The sequence below is a fragment of the Homo sapiens genome, chromosome 6 (genome assembly GCF_000001405.40).
Source record: "Homo sapiens chromosome 6, GRCh38.p14 Primary Assembly".
In the NCBI taxonomy this organism is placed as follows: Eukaryota; Metazoa; Chordata; class Mammalia; order Primates; family Hominidae; genus Homo; species Homo sapiens.
Genome location: NC_000006.12, coordinates 122727050 through 122746547, shown reverse-complemented (window position 1 = coordinate 122746547; position 19498 = coordinate 122727050). Strand labels below are relative to the sequence as shown.

The window sequence follows — 19498 nt, the reverse complement described above, 5'->3', positions numbered from 1 at the left end:
GGTCGCCCCCTTATCCAAGAAAACCATTGATATAATCAGAGCAACAGGAGTTTCCACTAAGCAGGCTTTCTGTCTACCACGGACCTGCTTGGTGTGGGGACATAAGATAGTTCACCAGTTCTTGTACATGCCTGACTGTCCTTTGCTATTGCTGGGAAGAGTCCTGCTTAGCAAGCTGAGAGCCACCATCTGCTTTACAAAACAGGGCTCTTTACAGCTAAAGTTACCGGGAACAGGAGTTATCAAGGCCCTTACGGTCCCCCGGGAAGAAGAATGGAGACTTTTTCTAACCAAGCCAGGCCAAGAGATAAAATCAGCTCTAGCTAAGCAATGGCCCCGAGTATGGGCAGAGGATAATCCTCCAGGACTGGTGGTCAACCAAGCCCCCATACTCATAGAAGTTAAGCCTGGGGCACAACCAATTAGACAAAAGCAGTATCCAGTTCCCAGAGAAGCTCTTAAAGGAATCCAGGTTCATCTCAGGCACTTCAAAGCCTATGGAATTATAGTTCTTTGCTAGTCTCCATGGCACACCCCCCTCCTGCCTGTGCCTAAGCCAGGGACCAAGGACTACCAGCCAGTACAGGACTTATGCTTGGTCAACCAAGCTACAGTGACTCTGCACCCAACAGTTCCTAACCCTTACACATTATTAGGGCTGCTGCTAGCTGAGGACAGCTGGTTTACCTGTCTGGACTTAAAATATGCCTTCTTTTGCATCAGACTAGCTCCTGAGAGCCAGAAGCTGTTTGCCTTTCAGTGGGAAGATCCGGAGTCACGTGTCACTACTCAGTACACTTGGACCCGGCTTCCCCAAAGGTTCAAGAACTCCCCTACTATCTTTGGGGAGGCCCTGGCTCGAGACCTGCAAAAGCTTCCTGCTAAAGACTTAGGCTGCATCTTGCTCCTGTACGTGGACAACCTTCTGCTGGGACACTCCACAGCAGTCAGGTGTGCTAAAGGGACGGATGCCCTGCTTTGGCACCTGGAGGACTGTGGGTATAAGGTGTCCAAGAAGAAAGCTCAGATCTGCTGACAGCACAGGCACGATCCCACTACTGATCAGCACGGGAGTTTTGACCTGCTCAATTTCCGACCTGGGCCGGTCCACCCCTCCTTAGGCAACCTGCTGTTCCCCCGCTTCCGGGAGGTCACCATATTGATGCTGAACTTAGTGCAGACACCCAATTGGCATAGCGCACTACAGCTGATTCAGAAGCTCGAAAAGCAGCATCTACCTCTTACCGGGCATCAGTAGCAGCCCCCTTACTCCCTCAAACACCTGACCTGGTACCTACCTATTCTAAGGAAGAAAAAGACTTCTTCCACACAGAAGAGGGGCAAGTAATAAAAGGAGGATGGATCAGACTGCCAGGTGGAAGAGTAGCTGTGCTGCAGTTGCTAGGAGCCATAATCATATTGGCCATGCACAAAACCACTCATCTAGGACAAGAGTCACTTGAAAAATTGTTAGGCCGGTACTTCTACATCTCACTCTTGCCAGCCCTTGCCAAAGCAGTAGCACAACAGTGCATTACTTGCCGACAGCACAATAAGAGGCAAGGCCCCACTGTTCCACCTGGCATACAAGCTTATGGAGCGGCTCCTTTTGAGGATCTTCAGGTGGATTTCACAGAAATGCTGAAATGTGGAGGTAACAAGTATTTGCTGGTTCTTGTGTGTACTTACTCTGGGTGGGTAGAGGCTTATCCAACACGAACTGAAAAGGCCTACGAGGTAACCCGTGTGCTTCTCCGAGATCTTATTCCTAGGTTTGGACTGCCCTTATGAATCGGCTCAGATAACAGGCCAGCATTTGTGGCTGACTTGGTACAGAAGACAGCAAAGGCATTAGGAATCACTTGGAAGCTACATGCCGCCTACCGACCTCAGAGTTCCAGAAAGGTGGAGCGAATGAATCAGACTATCAAAAATAGTTTAAGGAAAGTATGTCATGAAACAGGATTAAAGCGGATACAGGCCCTTCCTATGGTATTGTTTAAAATTAGATGCACTCCTTCTAAGAAAATAGAATACTCCCCTTATGAAATGCTGTATCATAGGCCTCCTCCAATACTACAGGAGCTTCCAGGCACTCCCCAAGAGTTAGGTAAAATTGAATTACAGCGACAGCTACAGGCTTTAGGAAAAATTACACAAACAATCTCAACTTGGGTAAATGAGAGGTGTCCCATCAGCTTATTCTCCCCAGTTCACCCTTACTCTCCAGGTGATGGCGTGTGGATCAAGGACTGGAACGTAGCCCCTTTGCGGCCACGGTGGAAAGGACCTCAGACCGTCATCCTGACCACCCCCACGGCTGTAAAGGTAGAAGGAATCCCAGCCTGGATCCACCACAGCCGTGTGAAACCTTTCAGCCACTGAAACCTGGGAGGCAAAACAGAGCCTGGACAACCCCTGCAAAGTGACTCTGAGGAGGACGACAAGCCCTGCTCCAGTCACACCCGGAAGCTGACTGGTCCACGCACAGCCGAAGCATGAGGAGAATCATCATGAGACTCATTTTCCTTATAATTTGGACTTGTATAGTAAAAACTTCCACTGATTTTCCCTGCATGGAGACTGCTCTCAGTGTATACATCAGGTTACCGAGGTAGGGCAGCAAGTTAAAACAGTCTTTCTGTTCTATAGTTACTATGAATGCCTAGGAACTTTAAAAGGAACATATTTATATAATGACACTCAGTACAAGGTATGTAGCCAGGAAACGACCAACCAGATGTGTGTTATGACCCCTCTGAGCCTCCCATGTCCACAGTTTTTGAAATAAGATTAATGACTGAAGACTGGTGAGGACTCATAAATGATACAAGTATTAGCCAGAACAGAAGAAAAAGGGATTCCCAAATGCATAATCTTGAAATTTGATGCCTGTACTGTCATTAATAGCAATAAGTTAGGAAGGGGATGTGGCTCTTTAGTTAGGAAAAAGGCTATATGACCGAAAATAAGTACATTTGTCATGAATTAGGACTGTGTGGAAATGTATGTGGATACTGGTCTTGTGTCATTTGGGCTACTTGGATAAAAAATGAAAAGGATCCAGTCCACCTTCAGAAAGGAAAAAATGGCCCTTCCTACACTAAGGGACAATGTAACCCCTTAGAGCTAGTAATAACCAATCCCCTTCATCCTCGTTGGAAAAAAGGGGAGTGTGTGACCTTAGGAATCGACGGGGCTGGACTGGATCCTCCAGTAAATATCTTGGTTTGAGGAGAAGTTTACAAACGCTTTCCTGAGCCAGTGTTTCAAACTTTCTATGATGAACTAAATGTGCCAGTACCAGAAACTCCAGGAAAAACAAGAAATTTGTTTTTGCAATTAGCCGAGCATGTGGCCCAGTCTCTCAATGTCACTTCATGTTTTGCATGTGGAGGAACTGTAATGGGAAATCAATGGCCATGGGAAGCCCCAGAATTAATACCTACAGACACAATTCCTGATGAATTCCCAGCTCAAAAGAATCACCCTGATAATTTCTGGGTCCTAAAAGCCTCAATTATTGGACAATATTGCATAGCTAGAGAAGGAAAAGAATTCACTCACCCCGTAGGACGACTTAGTTGTCTGGGACAGAAACTGTATAATGGTACCACAAAAATAGTCACTTGGTGGAGTTCAAATCACACAGAGAGGAATCCATTTAGCATATTCCCAAAGTTGCAAACAATGTGGACCCACCCAGAGTCCCACCAGGACTGGACAGCCCCACTGGATTATACTGGATATGTGGGCATAGAGCTTATGCCAAATTACCTGACCAGTGGGCAGGTAGTTGTGTTATTGGCACTATTAAACCATCTTTCTTCCTACTGCCCATAAAAACAGGCAAACTCCTGGGCTTCCCTGTCTATGCTTCCCGCAAAAAGAGAAGCATAGCTATAGGAAATTGGAAAGATGATGAATGGCCCCCTGAGAGAATCATACAATATTATGGCATGCTACTTGGGCACAAGACGGCTCATGGAGATACCAGACCCCCATTTACATGATCAACCAAATCATACGGTTACAAGCTGTCTTAGAAATAATCACTAATAAAACCGGCAGAGCCTTGACTATTCTAGCCCAGCAAGAAACTCAGATGAGAAATGCTACCTATCAAAATAGATTGGCTCTTGACTACTTGCTAGCAGCTGAAGGAGGGGTCTGTAGAAAATTTAACCTTACTAATTGCTGTCTACACATAGATGATCAAGGGCAAGTAATTGAAGACATAGTTAGAGATATGACAAAACTGGCACATGTGCCTGTGCAAGTGTGGCATGGATTTGATCCTGGGGCCATGTTTGGAAAATGGTTCCCAGGGCTAGGAGGATTTAAAACTCTTATAATAGGAGTTATAATAGTAATAGGAACCTGCTTACTGCTCCCTTGCTTGCTACCTGTACTTCTTCAAATGATAAAAAGCTTCATCGCTACCTTAGTTAACCAAAATGCTTCAGCATAGGTGTACTATATGAATCACTATTGATCTGTCTTGCGAGAAGACATGCGTAGTGAGAATGAAAGTGAGAACTCCCACTATTGAGTGAGATTCTCAAAGCAGGGGAAATAAGGAAGGAGACCACCCCTCATATTGTCCTATGCCCAATTTCTGCCTCCAAAGAAAGAAGTAAAAACTAAAAGGCAGAAATGAAATCCACAAGCAGACAACCCAGCACCACACCCTGGGCCTGGTAGTTAAAGATGGACCCCTGACCTAATCGGTTATCTGTAATTACAGACATCATATAGAAAAGCACTGTGAAAATCCCTATCCTATTCTGTTCCATTCTAATTACTGGTGCATGCAGCACCCCCCAGTCACGTACCCCCTGCTTGCTCAATCAATCACGACAATCTCAAGAGGACCTGCTTAGAGTTGTGAGCCCTTAAAAGGGACAGGAATTGCTCACTCAGGGAGCTCGGCCCTTGAGACAGGAGTCTTGCTGATGCTCCCGGCTGAATATACCGCTTCCTTCTTTAACTCGGTGTCTGAGGGGTTTTTGTCTGGGGCTTATCCTGCTGCAGGTTCAGATGGGGCCAATTCTCCATTCCTTGCCACAGTGGGGAGAACAACTCTCAGTCATGGCAAATCAATGTGTCTTCTTTCCACAGCTAGATGTTTCAGTGGCAGGAGCACGTCTCAAGTCAGAAAGACCAAATTATCCCAAAAATTATTTGCTGGGACTGTTGGGGGGCAACAGTCTCCTTCCCCTGTGGGATGGAATGTTGAAGCTAGGAGTAAGAAGTCTGGGGTTACAGGTGGCCATCTTGCCTACCACATACCTGGTTCTAATGTGACAAATCAAGCCAAGCAAAGACAAGCTGAACAAAAGAAAAGAGTATGAACCCTGTCGACAAAGCCAAAGCCTGAGCTCCCGGAAATAGCCACAGATAAGGCCACACAGACACTGAGAGATAAGAAATATAGGCAGAGCACAACAGCATTATTGAAGCCCCTAAATTCCCTTTTTCTGAGGTTGGCTACACCTCTGTACTTAGTTACATGAGTCAATAAGTCCTCTCTTTTTGCTTAAATTCAATTGACTATCTTCTTCTTGCAGTAAAAAAAAAGCTCTGATGAATACTTTAAGGTCATTTATAATAGATGATTAAGTATGGAGATATATATATATATATATAAAACAGGCACTATCTAGATATGGCAAGTGGGATGGAGGAAGATGGAAAAGGAGCTTTGCTTATATTTCTAGTGCTGATATGAGTGATACTATAGTATGGTATACTATAGTATAGTACAGAGTGAAACAAAGGTGTGTTGGTCTAGTGTCCCTACATAATAGAGTTTTAAGTTGTCATTGGAGTGTTGAAAGTAAAAGTACATAGGATGTGAATGACATTGCATGACACTAAGAATAAAGTCATCATCAGTACTTCCATCTCTGCTGCCTGCACTTCCTTACTGGTTCACACCACATGGGTTCTGTGGAGCAAATCTGAAATCTTGGATTTGCAGGACAAACTGCACTATTTCAATTATTTTGTTTTGAGAGATGGGTATTTTTAAAAATTGCATCAAGAATATTAAGGCAATTAACAATGTTTATGAAAAATAATAGAAATATGGAGTACTTGGGAAAATCTATTTTATTTTTTTGAACCACTTTATTGAGGTATGATCTATATATAAAAAGCTGTCCATATTTAATGTATGCTACTGGAGGAATTAGAAGATAAGTATACACTGTGAAACCAGCACCGCAATCTATACCATACATATACCCGTTCCCTCCAAAAGCTTCCTCCCACTCTTTTATTTATTGTTACTGTTTTGTGTGATAAGAGCACTTAACACAAAATCTGCCCTTTTAGCAAATTTTTAAGAAAAAATACCCAATTTAATTTAGCAATCTCTTAAGCATTAGCTCATATGTAAGAAATAGTAAAATAGGCCAGGTGTGGTGGCTCATGCCTGTTATCTCAGCATTTTGGGAGGCCCAGACTGGTGGATCACCTGCGGTCAGGAGTTCCATACCACCCTGGCCAACATGGCGAAACCCCGTCTCTACTAAAAATATATAATTTAGCTGGGTGTGGTGAGATGCACCTGTAGTCCCAGCTACTTTGGAGGCTGAGGCAGGAGAATCTCTTAAACATGGGAGGCGGAGGTTGCAGTGAGCCAAGATCGCACCACTGCACTCCAGCCTGGCGACAGAGCGAGACTCCATCTCAAAAAAAAAAAAAAAAAGTAAAATATAGTTAAGATTTCTCTGTTTTTATGTTTTGTTTTGAAATTTACTTGGCTACAAACAGCAAATTTTGAATAACAAATCATTAAATTTAAAAATCCTGATAATCATTTGCCTAAGAGACCATACCAACAATAAAGTTGAATTATTCCATTGCCAAACAGCCACAGAAAAATACCAATTTAATAAATTAAAGTGTTTTCTTACAATACATTGGAAATCAAGATTTAAATCCTTTCACTGTTTTAATAGAAATTAAGAACTATCATAAGGAAAAGGTTTCACATATGACAAGTTTCATATTACGATAGCCAGTTTTTTATTTTTATTTTTTATTTTTTATTTATTTATCTTTTTTTGAGAAAGAGTTTCACTCTTGTGCCCAGGTTGGAGTGAAATGGCGCAACATCGGCTGACTGCAACCTCTGCCTCCTTGGTTCAAGCAATTCTCCTGCTTCAGCCTCCCAAGTAGCTGGGATTACAGGTGCCTGCCACCACACCTAGCTAATTTTTTGTATTTTTAGTAGTGATGGGATTTCATCACCTTGGCCAGGCTGGTCTCAAACTCCTTACCTCAGGTGATCCATCCACCTCTGCCTTTCAAAGTTCTGGGATTACAGGCATGAGCCACTATGCCTGACCTATGATAGCCAGTTTAAAAACAAAAAAAACAAAAAAAAACTCTGTTATCCTCGCAGAAAATTAAAAACTTACTATCTAACTTAGCCTTTGTAAATCTTATATACTGGAAGTCTTTTATTCAGAATATATGTCAAAATATTCTACAAGGTGCTATATAATATATATAGAAAAATGATAGATGATATCTATATAAATATTACTTATATGAATATTTATTGTTACCTAACAGGTTTGTTTTGCTGTGCATAATTCATCAAATGGAAAAGATGTTTTCTTAGTTTAAAATATGTTTTATGCCTAATATCTCTGTATTTCTTAGAGATTAAGTAGCCTAACTATCAGTAGCTATAGATGTATTGTAAATATATTAAACAAACTATAAGAATCTTTCAAGAATCTTGTAATCTAAACTGGTGATAACTTCATAGTTCTATAATATCATAACACATAAAAAGTGAACAATATGGTTGAATCATTCAGTTATCTGACTAGTAGAAAATGTCAGTATATTTACAAATCAAGAAGTTTACTGAATTTAAGTATAAACTTGCAGATACTGAGTTTTTAAAAATATAAACTTGAAATTTTGGAGACCTGTGGGCATTACCAAAAGTTGTTTAAAAATTAATATACCTCCAGAGAATATATGTGAAATAAATTTCTTAACTTCCATATATAGAATCTCATTTTCAAACTTTTAAAGTTAGATACAGAATTTACTCTACAATAGTAATAAAACATCTCCTTTGCCAGACATTGATGAGTTTTAATTGTTTAGTGTTTTTTTGTTGTTGCTGTTTTGCTTATACATACACAAATTCTTATAGAATAAGGTATTGAGTCAAAACAGCTTAAACATTGACAGCCGGCTGGGTGGCTCACGCCTGTAATCCCAGCACTTTGGGAGGCCAAAGCGGGCAGATCACGAGGTCAAGAGATTCATACCATCCTGGCCAACATGGTGGAACCCCGTCTGTACTAAAAATACAAAAAATTAGCTGGGGGTGGTGGCGCACACCTGTAGTCCTAGCTACCTGGGAGGCTGAGGCAGGAGAATTGCTTGAACCTGAGAGGCAGAGGTTGCAGTGAGCCGCGATTGCACCACTGCACTCTAGCCTGGCAACAGAGCAAGACTCCGTCTAAAAAAAAAAAAAACAGTTGACAGCCTTGGCTAAGGGAAAATATAAGAACATTTAATTCATTGTGCTTCCCAAACTGTGATTGCTAGGTCCATTTTTCTGTTTTTAAAAACTATTTGAAGCATGTTAAAGACAGCTTAATATTTCATCAATACATTTTCCAGATCCTTATTAAAATATCTGTACCATTTTACATTTCCACTTGCTTGAATGACGATAATTCATTAAAATCAGTCTCTTAATATATGGTAGGCACTGTGTTAAGCACATAACAGTCATCTCATTTAAATCTTCATTCATCACACTATGAGATAGGTGCTATTGCTATTTCCAATTTTTAGTAGGAAAATGGAGACTTGCCCTAGGCCCCACAACCTATAAAAGTTGAACAGCAATGCCAGTCAGTTTTGTCTGTCTCCAGAGTTCATCTTCTTAACCACTGCACTGTTGGTTCATTTTGGCTAATGCAATAGTTTAAAAAACAAAACAGAAACAACTTGTATATTTTTTTAAACACATGTTTTTTTTATTATTTTTTTAAACACATGTTTTTTCTCCTTTGTGAACTTCTTTCTGGAATTTTATTTTAAAATTAGAATACTAATACTTTTCTTATTGTTTTATTTGTATTCACTTATATTATCTATGTAATTATAAATATGTTCCCAAGTTTTATCTTTTCTTAATTTTTATATAAGGAATTTTTAAATAGAAAAATCTATAGACTTTTTTCAGAACAGAATTTTTAAAAATCTCTGGGCCAATTTTTTCATATATTTGAGGAGAGTTAGGGACATACACTCAGCTAATTGCTAATCTCTGAGTATAGCCTGAGAGGCAGTAGGTAAGATATATACTATACTAACATTGTAATATCAAATTTTTATTGGAACTTCTGCAATTATTTGTTTTATGATAATCAGTATTCTTGAATTAAATTTTTTTGCTTATTTGTGAGATTTACTTAGAATTAAGATATGTAGCTGTCTTCCTCACTAAAACATAAGATCTAGAAGAAAGAATATATACATACATAAATTATGTCTAAATGTTGTGAAATATGCAGAGATATGGTACATATTATAACTGACCGTTTTTTCCCCAGTATTTTTTTTAAAACCAGGAAAACACATAAATACAACCAAAATAAAAACCCATCAAGATTTTATTGGCTTTCTCTGCCTCATTCCAGTTTTGGAAACAATCTTGACCTAGATCCAGACAGATGGCCGAGGGTTGAATGTCATGTTTGCTTTGCTGCTGGTCCTGTTATGAACTGAGATTTTATTTTTTTCTATAATAAATGAAAGTGACAAGTCAATACCAATACAAGGATGAGTAAATGTTTGACAAAATGAATTCCAAGGATACAATTCAAACATTTGTCAGGAGCCCGAGATAATTTCTTATTTGTTTTGTTATGCCTTTCCAATTTGTCTCTAAATAAAAATATTTACAATTTAGGATTCACTCTATCTCACAGGATAGGATATGTATGACCTTACAAATTTATAGAAAACTTCTCTATGTTAATGTGAAGAAAAAAATAAGATGAAATAACCATGGTCTATTTCCAACCAACAGCAAACGTTCTCAAACTCTTAACTCCTGCTTTTGTTTAGGAAAAGGATAGTATGAGTCATTATGAAAAACAATCCCTCCCACACCTGTTTTCCCTACCCCTGTCACAATTCTCTAAGTGCACATGTATGCGCATGTGTACACAGACACACACACACACATATGCATGCCTGCCTGCACGCACACGCTGAGAATTCAGCCCAATAAATAGAGGAGGGACAGCTTTATAGAGATGGGCTTATTTAAGACAATGTATATAAATATTTTCTGCAAAATTCACTAAACTATAGGAAAGACAAATTCAAATGGGAGCAGTAAAGCATTTTTTAATGCTTTTTGTTCTTTATAATTATTAGATTAAAAGGAAAACAGTGATAATAAGATCCATAGGGGCTGTACGCTAATGGAGGATAAAGAACTGCTTTGTAACGTGAAACTTTGCCTCCACACTATATGACTTTAAGTGCACCAGGCTCTTTATATGGAAAACTGGTTTTCAACAGATACCAGGCAAACTGTAAAGATGATCTCACATTGCCAAATGGGCCTTCAGCTGCTTTTCTAATTGACTTTTCCACGGTTTGTTGCTTAGTGTTACACATACTAATGTGTCATCCTAGACTAATCAGATTTTCAAGTCTCAACCTGCCTGTGTTTGTAGGTTTCAAACTTACAATTCCTCTGCTATTACCCTCCAAAATTGTTGAAACTGACTACTTCTGTTGTTAGAAGCATGATATAGAAAGCATGGTGCTCATAACTACTATGACTGACACGTAAGTTTCCCAGTTGATACAATAAAGCCAAGAGACCCTAAGTCCAGTGTGTTTCTCAACGATTATTCAGTACAGGGAGAAACACTCCTAGTTGTTTCCTAGGCAACGATTTAGTGAAAAATGTGCAGTTATATTTCATTTCATCCCATTTTCTATTTTTCTAGAACTGGCTATTTTTTCCCCTTATTTTCCAATATCCATTTCTCCTCACATTTCTCTTTATACATTATCTTTGATATTTCTTCTCCTCTAGCCTTTCTCTCCTGTTCTTTCCTGCTATTAATTATCTAACTTTCTTTCCCTTAGGAATGAGATCAAAACAAATACTTGTCTTTAAAGTTGCCCTGTCAACTACCATCTGGTTACTGTTTTGTTTCTTTTTAGAAAATCAACAGTAGACCCTTCGTGAATGAGGAAATTCTATTCACTTTTGCTTCCAGGGCATGATTGTGTCCCAGCTTATTAAGAAGCAGAAGTCTTAGTGCTTTGGAATCTAGTTTACACATCTGTCTGCTTTCCTGGAAGGCTGAAGGAATTTGAAATGCTGTTTTTTAAACAATACCAAAAACAAACAAAGAGAAAGGGCCAGAGAAATTTTCATCTGGGAAGAGATTGCTTTTGTCAGTAGATGGCCAGCAGAGTAAGTCAGATATGCAAGAAACACATCAAGTGTTCTGGGAGGGGAGTATTTGAATGCTAAGCAGTCGTTTGTGTGGATCCAGGCTTCTTACAGCTTCCAGGTCTTGGTTTCTGATGTGGAGATCTTTTTGACAGAGTTGGCTAGTTTTTGTTAGTTGCCACTCGATCCCGTTTATTGGCTAAGAATAAAATAGAAAATAATTTATTTTATATAACTTAAGAAAAATACCAAGGTTTGATAGCACTCATCCCGTTCGTTTACCACACACACACACACACACACACACACACACGCACAGCCTTTTAAGATTCCCTGTTGCCTGCAAGATAAAGGCCAGGTGCTTTAGCCTGACGTTCCTGGATCTCTAGAATCTACTGTGAGCCTCATTTCCAACCCTGTTTTTCTTGTCTCCCACCACTTTCTCTCTGCGCCTCAGTGCCAACCACCCCAGCCTGCTTCTCTCAAAATACCCATGTGCACTTCTGCCGTCTCTCAGCTTCTCCTCATGTGAAGTACTCTCCCTTTTCCTGCCCATCTCTCTGTCCCGTCTTTCTGGACCCAAGTCCATCTTCCCTCTGTCACCACACCTGTAAGTGGTCCTCACTCAGGTCCCCGCTTGGCATGGCTCACGCTCATCATGTGTTTGCACGCACCATGTCCCCCGTCATCGTTGTATATACCTGTACTCAGACAGGCAGCAGAAAGACAGCTACTGGTGGGTTCCTTTCCTCTCCTTTCTCTCTGGCCGTCATTGCCAGAAGAACTCAAATATGGAAACTCCAGAAGCATATAAGAATAGGGACTCTTTGGTGTGAGACGAAACAGGAAGATTATTTCAAGGGGCAAAAATCTTGAGAGAAGGAGAACACCTTATGGTTCCCAGCCAGTCAGATAGGATGACTCATTACCCAGGATAACATGGTATAACACATATGTAACATAGACATGTGGCAGTATGGGGCTGCCTATTTCCATACCTTGGAGAAGCAATGAGGGGGAGTGAGGACAGCTTCAGGAAGGCATTCATCAAAGTAATTGAGTAAATGAACACAGCATTACTTTCTATAGGGATTCTAATCATTTCTTCAATTAATATTGAGAAATGATATAACTCAGTTTTTGAATGTGCAATTGTAGATACTGTATGCATAATACAGCCTGTTTTCTTTCAGCTTGAAAACTAAACACAGAAAACATAGAAAACAAATTAAAAAAGGAAATATTAATTTAGTTGCAAGTTAAAATACATATATTATTACTGATAATCCATTTTATTGTCTCAAAATTTCTCTTAAAATGAGTCCAAAATTCAGGGACTATCAGAATTAGCTAGAATTTAGAGGGCTTTTCAATAAATTCATTTTGCATATAAGAAAACTGAAGTTCCAAGAAATAAAGGAACACTTGTATTGAAAAGAACCTGTGAATGGAAGAGAACCACTCTTTCTTTTTCTTTTGGATTTTCTGTCATTCTTAGTGACACAATTATCCAGCCACCAGACCTCATTTTCTGCTAATAGGTAAAGTAACTAATAAGGTATCTCCTTGGGTCTACACATTCCCCCTCCTAGCCAACCGCCTAAACATCCGTTGCTATAGGGAAGCAGATGTTTCATCAGAAGAGTGAAATGATTCATTTCGTTAATTACCAGTAGGTGACAAGCACCTGGGGAGGAGACCCAAGCCCTTCTTGACTGTGGTGTTAAAAGGGAAAACTTAGGAAGATGGTGCCCCTGGAGAGCCGGCTGGTGCTAGGGAGCAGGAGGTGTCTGTGAAGTTGCCTCAGAACTTTGTTGCTAAAGCAGCGCTCTTTCAAAGTGTAGAGCTCAGTGCAGAGGAAGTGTATCCTGTTCTTCCTCTATACTTAGTGTCTTTTTTTTTAATCCCAACTATGACAAGAGGCACCAGGAACCAAAATTATCCGTAGGCTTAGACCAAAGCCTTCGGAGGCTGTGCAGCATGGATCTACCCAAGTAAGAAGAACCCCAGGGAAAAAAGAAGGTGGTGGGGATCAGAGCTCAATTCTGCACCTGCTGAGTGCCCTTCAAACAGACTTTAAGAGGCAGTCTTGTCTTTAAGCACACCCTCAACGTTAATTATCATCTTAACCTTTTAACTAATCTGTGCTTCAGTTTCCTCAGCTGTGAAAGGAGACCAAGAATAAATCCTGTGTCGTGAGGTTGTTGTGAAAATTAAAAGTTAATGTGAATAAAGCACTTACAACAGTATCACTGTGTGTTTGCTCTCATTTGGGGAGATGATGTAGATTAGTGATTAAAAGCATGGATTCTGGAACAAACTTGCTTTGGTTTGAAGCTTGGCTTTAACATTTACTCATGTGAGCTTGGACAGTACGTCTCTGGGCCTATTTTCTCATATGTTGGCCTATTGTGAGAATTAAATAATCTCATAAAGCACTGAGAACAGTTTTAATACATACTAAGGGTTAGTTATATACTATCTGTTCCTTCCCCTTGTTAACTACCCACATGTGGGCCTGTCACTGAATGTACATCTTCTTGTAGAGCGAAAGCACTCCAGAGATTTCAGAAGCTGTGCTCAGAATCTCTCACCCCAATAGAACCTCACCAAGACTACCTGGCCAGCGTCCCCTTTGTGCATTCAACTTTCCCACATAACACACAGTGGGATTTGTGGAAAACGTTCTCCCTATTTTCCTTCCTGCTCTTGGAAAAACAGGAATAATCATCTTGTTAACCCCAATTCCTCCACTTAGGAGACACCAATCTTTCTTCTAATTGGAAGGGGAACTATTAAGCAATAAGATGATATTTTGAATTAAATCAAGAACAAAACCACATATTCACATAGCATTTACACATTTACTTGAGTTCAAACTGCCAGGGGCTCTTCCAAGTCTAAAAGTCACAATTGAAAACAGTGCTTTAAACTTGAAAGACATCAGAGGTCTATTTTGAATTGAAGCTTGTAGAGAACTCAGGATTATTTGTAATTTGATTTTAATGAATAAAACATTTGTGTATTGCTATTTTAAATTTTTTTTTAAAAAGATCCAGATGACCCTGTTACACAGAAAAAGGAACTCTTTGTTACACATCAGAAAAAGTGATAGACTTTATATTCTTTTTATTTATTTATTTTTAGCTTTTATTTCATTATACTTTCAGTTCTGGGATACATGTGCAGAACGTGAAGGTTTGTTACATAGGTATACATGTGCCATGATGGTTTGCTGCACCCATCAACCCATCATCTAGGCTTTAAGTCCCGCATGCATTAGGTATTTGTCCTAAAGCTATTCCTCCCCTTGCTCCCCATATATTCTTAAGAAGTGTATTTTTTTATTTTTATAGATTTAGGGCTTATGTATCATCTTGTTACATGAATATATTGCCTAGTGGTGAAGTCTGGGCTTTCAGTGTAGCCATCGCCTGAATAGTGTACATTGTACCCAATAGGTAATTTCTCATCTCACTCCCACCCGCTTCCAAGTCTCCAATGTCTACAATTCCACTTTCTATGTCTGTATGTATGCATTATTTAGTACCCACTTATGAGTGAGAACATGTTGTAACTAAGTAAAATAACCCAGAAACTTTCTGATGGCCTCCAGTTCCATTCATGTTGCTGCAAAAGATATGATTTTATTCTTTTTAGGGCTAAGTAGTATTCCGTTGTATTGTACCACATTTGCTTTATTCAGTCATCTGTTGATAGACACAGGTTGATTCTGCATTTTTGCTAATATGAATAGTGTTATGATAAATATACTGGTGTAGGTATCTTTTTAACATAATGATTTATTTTTCCTTTGGGAGAAGTATATTTTTAAGCTATATTAGAACACCTTCTTTTGGTACCTAAGAACATAGGGTATCCTAAAAAATTGGTAGCCACAGAATAGCACACTGTTATAATATTTTTCTTGTGTCTCTTGAAAAAATTGTGTTGGAAATACTATAGTTTTGGTTGCTGTTTTGTTTTTGCAGTAATCCTGACCAACATATGTAGCAGAATTGGTGAAACAAACTGGAAACCTCAGGCATGCCTCGATTAAATTTTTTGTAGAGCCAGTGGGAGCAGAGCACCACCTAGTGTCAGTTTTGAATAATTCTCTCAAATAAGAAAAACTGCCCAGGGTGAAAATAATGTACCCAAAGGCACGTAGTCAATATAGGTTAAATTTAGGTCAAAATCCTGGAACCAAATCCGCATTTATTGACGACAGCCCCATGCTTTTTCTCCTATTATTCTCCACAATTTTACATCAAAGAAAGGCAATATGTAAAAAACAAATCCCTTCCACTAATGGAAATTCAATTTAGGTGACAAATACGTTATAAAACAGGACTATTTGAATATCTGGTATGCCTAAAGCACTATGAGAGCTCAATTCCACAGACTCTAAGGTGAGACTTTTTTTTTTTTTCTTCAGATTTCTGGCTTTCTTATGGTTCCCTGAGGTCTCTGTAGCGACCCATCTGGCACTTCGGATGCTTCTCTGCCATCAACATTGCCAAAAATAATTCAGCCTCTGAAATTTATCACTGAGGAACAAATGAGATGATTTCACTTACCTATGTGGCCCTTCTCTAAAAATGTTCATAGTTAGTTCATGCCAGATGCAGTTTGTGTCTCAGAATGTCCATGTGCCCTCTTCACAACCATGGTTAGCCCCAAGCTGAATGTGAGCCGAGCCAAGGATGGGGAGCCTTTCTTCTCTGCCTCTCTTCCAGCTACTACTTCCCACCCCAAAGAATCCCAGTCTTCTCACCAACTCTGCACTCCTTCAGGGCTCTACAAGTTAATGGAAAATTAAATGACAACAATACCAACAGCTTGCCATATAAAATCATTTCTGGAATGAGGTAAAATATGAGTTAATGAAAGAATAAAGCCAAATAAATAAATAAAATTGCTGTTTTGAGATATCAGTGCTCATTTTGGCTCATATGTTATTCTTCTTATACAACTTTTAAATTTCCCTAAGAATTTTGAGTAAATTCAGACAAATCTAATATGCTCATGAATGAGCTGGTTTGGGGAAGAGGGGACTTTTGGTACAAGAGAGGCTGTGCACATCCAAACTCTGAGAGCCCTGTCCTAAGTCACTGTTGCACTTCCTTGTGTGAACTCTCAAAGATACTCTCTGAATCCATTTTCTTCATCTGTAAAAATGAGAAACATTAACAACTATTTTATATGATTTTTTATGAAGATTCAAAAGGATCTACTATGTGCTAAGTAATCACCAGTCACAAGAAATTTGGCTATGATGATGATTTTTTTTTTTTTGAGACGGAGTCTTGCTCTGTTGCCCCAGCTGGAGTGCAGTGGCATGATCTCAGCTCACTGCAACCTCTGCCTCCTGGGTTCATGCCATTCTTCTGCCTCAGCCTCCCAAGTAGCTGGGACTGCAGGCACCCGCCACCATGCCTAGCTATTTTTTTGTATTTTTAGTAGAGACAGGGTTTCACCATGTTAGCCAGGATGATCTCGATCTCCTGACCTCATGAACCGCCTGCCTCGGCCTCCCAAAGTGCTGGGATTACAGGCATGAGCCACTGCGCCCGGCCTATGATGATGACTTCTGTTGATGTGTGCCCACTGAGAAATCCATTCTAGGATTTTAACAAGTAACAACAACATTGCCCCAGCCCTTTGTTTGAGCCAACGCTTCCAGTTTTTAACTGGCTGCAGATTTTTAATGTTCTGAGAGTTGTCATCAGTAACACTAAAAAAAAAAAAGGGACTCAGTCTGATTAATCAGTCCTGTTTTTAGCCACGGAGGTGTTGCTAGCGGAAAGAAAAGAGCAGAAGAATAGAAGGAAATCTATACTGGCAAATAACATAGGAAAAAATCAACAGATCTAGAACATTCAACTTAAAGTCTTTATCATCCTTTATGTTCTGGCAAATAATAATAATATGAGTTTTTGCTAGTATGCCAGGCACTGCCCTTATCAATGACTAATATTCACTCACTTAATCCTCATAATAATTTATCATTTTACATGTTGAATAAATGGAAGCACAAGGAATAAAATGAACAAAATCATAAGAGCAAATGGCAGAGCTGTACTTTGAACTTGAGGGGCCAGGCTCCACAGACAGGGTAACAGATTAGTGAGCTTTGGTTATATCCTTTTTTTATTTTACTTTTTAATTAACAAATAATAATTATACATATTCATGGGGTACATAGTGATGTTTTGATACATACAATTTAGAGTGGTCAGATCATGGTATTTGCATATTCATCATCTCAAGCATTTGTCATTTCTTTGTGTTGAGAATGCTCAACATCCTCCTTCTAGCTATTTTATTTTAATTTGTTTTTGTTTTCTGAGACAGAGTCTTGCTCTATTGCCCAGGCTGGAGTGCAGTGGCACAATCTCGGCCCACTGCAAACTCTGTCTCCTGGGTTCAAGTGATTCTCCTGCCTCAGCCTCCCGAGTAGCTGGGACAATGCCACCACATCAAGCTAATTTTTATTTTTCTACACCCAGCTAATTTTTGTATTTTTAGTAGAGACGGGGTTTCACCATGTTGGCCAGGCTGGTCTTGAATTATTGACTTCAAGTGATCCACCCACCTTGCTCTCCCAAAGTGCTGGATTACAGGTGTGAGCCACTGCACAGGGCCCCTTCTAGCTATTTTAAATTATATGTTATTACTAAGTATAGTCATTCTACAGTGGCATAGAACACCAGAATTTTCATTTTCCTCTGGCTCCTCTCTATCCCCCTGTCCCTTGCCAAACATCTGCCCAAGTTGTCAAGCCACCTGAGGAAAACTAGTGGTTTATTTTCTAAGTAGGGCACCTCCCCTTATACTCACTAACGTTTTAAGAAAGTTCAAATCTTTTCTACCCAGAACACAAAATATCTCTGGGTACATGACACAGAATAGATTCTTTTTGTTCTTTCTCCTTTATACAGAGTTAAGTTTTCAGACAGCTGCTTTATAGCTTTATTGTCACCTTTTAGCCTGATTATCTGACAGTGTTAATTTAGACTTCATAGCTATTGACTAAAGCAAGTGCCTTGTACAAAGACAATGGCAAAATGGGCAAGGAGACTTTCTTTAATAAGTCCCAAATAAATAGCTTTGGTAAAAGTGTCTACTTGCTATGACAAAATACCATAGGTTCCTCAAAATAGCTTGATTTTTTAAAAAGTTGGTAGGCAAATTCAGCGTTGTCTTTAAACTGCTACTGACCTCTCATTCTCCTTTGTCTGGACTCCTCAGGGAAAATAAACCATTTTCGTTAGCACATATTCTCAGTGAACAAGCCTGATACCTTGGGTAATACAAAATAATGGAACGTTTGTGTGTGCATTGTAGTGAATAATTGATTTAGAATATATATCATTCAGAATATATGTAACTGTTAGCAATAATGAGGAGGGACATGGCTTTACTTTTGGTCTTCTAAATGAGAAAAATATTGTAGAAAACTATGATCCAAGAACGATGTTACTTTATTTCTTCTACATTTTCATGGAACAAATTACTCATTTAAATACTGACTCAAGATTCTATTTTTTTGCAGTAACTGTCATAAAACACTAGTGAGCAGACTCATTGTTAAATGGTAATACTCATGGCCTGTCAGTCACCCATTAGCATGATTGAATTAGCATTCATGTGGTAATTACCATGAATTGTCTATTTCTACCATCCTGTTTTCTCCCAGCACCAAGCATTGGGGATATCACAGAGATTTTGTGAAGTCACAGAGAAAGGCAGAAGACAGACAAATAAACAAATTGAGCTTCCTACCACCTCCACTACCACAGTATTGGCAAGAGCATCTTGAATAAATATGACAACGATGATGATGATAGCTAATATTTATTGAATAATTATTCTTTGCCAGGCATTATTCAATTGTTTTGCATATACTATCTCATTTACTGCCTCCACCCACCCTATAAAGTATGCGCTATTATTAAAACCATTCCACAGAGGATAAAACTGAGACTTAGAGACATGATGTAAGTTGCCCAGGATCACGCA

The 19498-nt window shown here is 39.4% G+C and overlaps 1 pseudogene; it reads right to left on the bottom strand.

Annotated features, from left to right (window-relative positions):
* On the bottom strand, positions 1019-1268 carry RN7SL564P (RNA, 7SL, cytoplasmic 564, pseudogene; annotated as a pseudogene).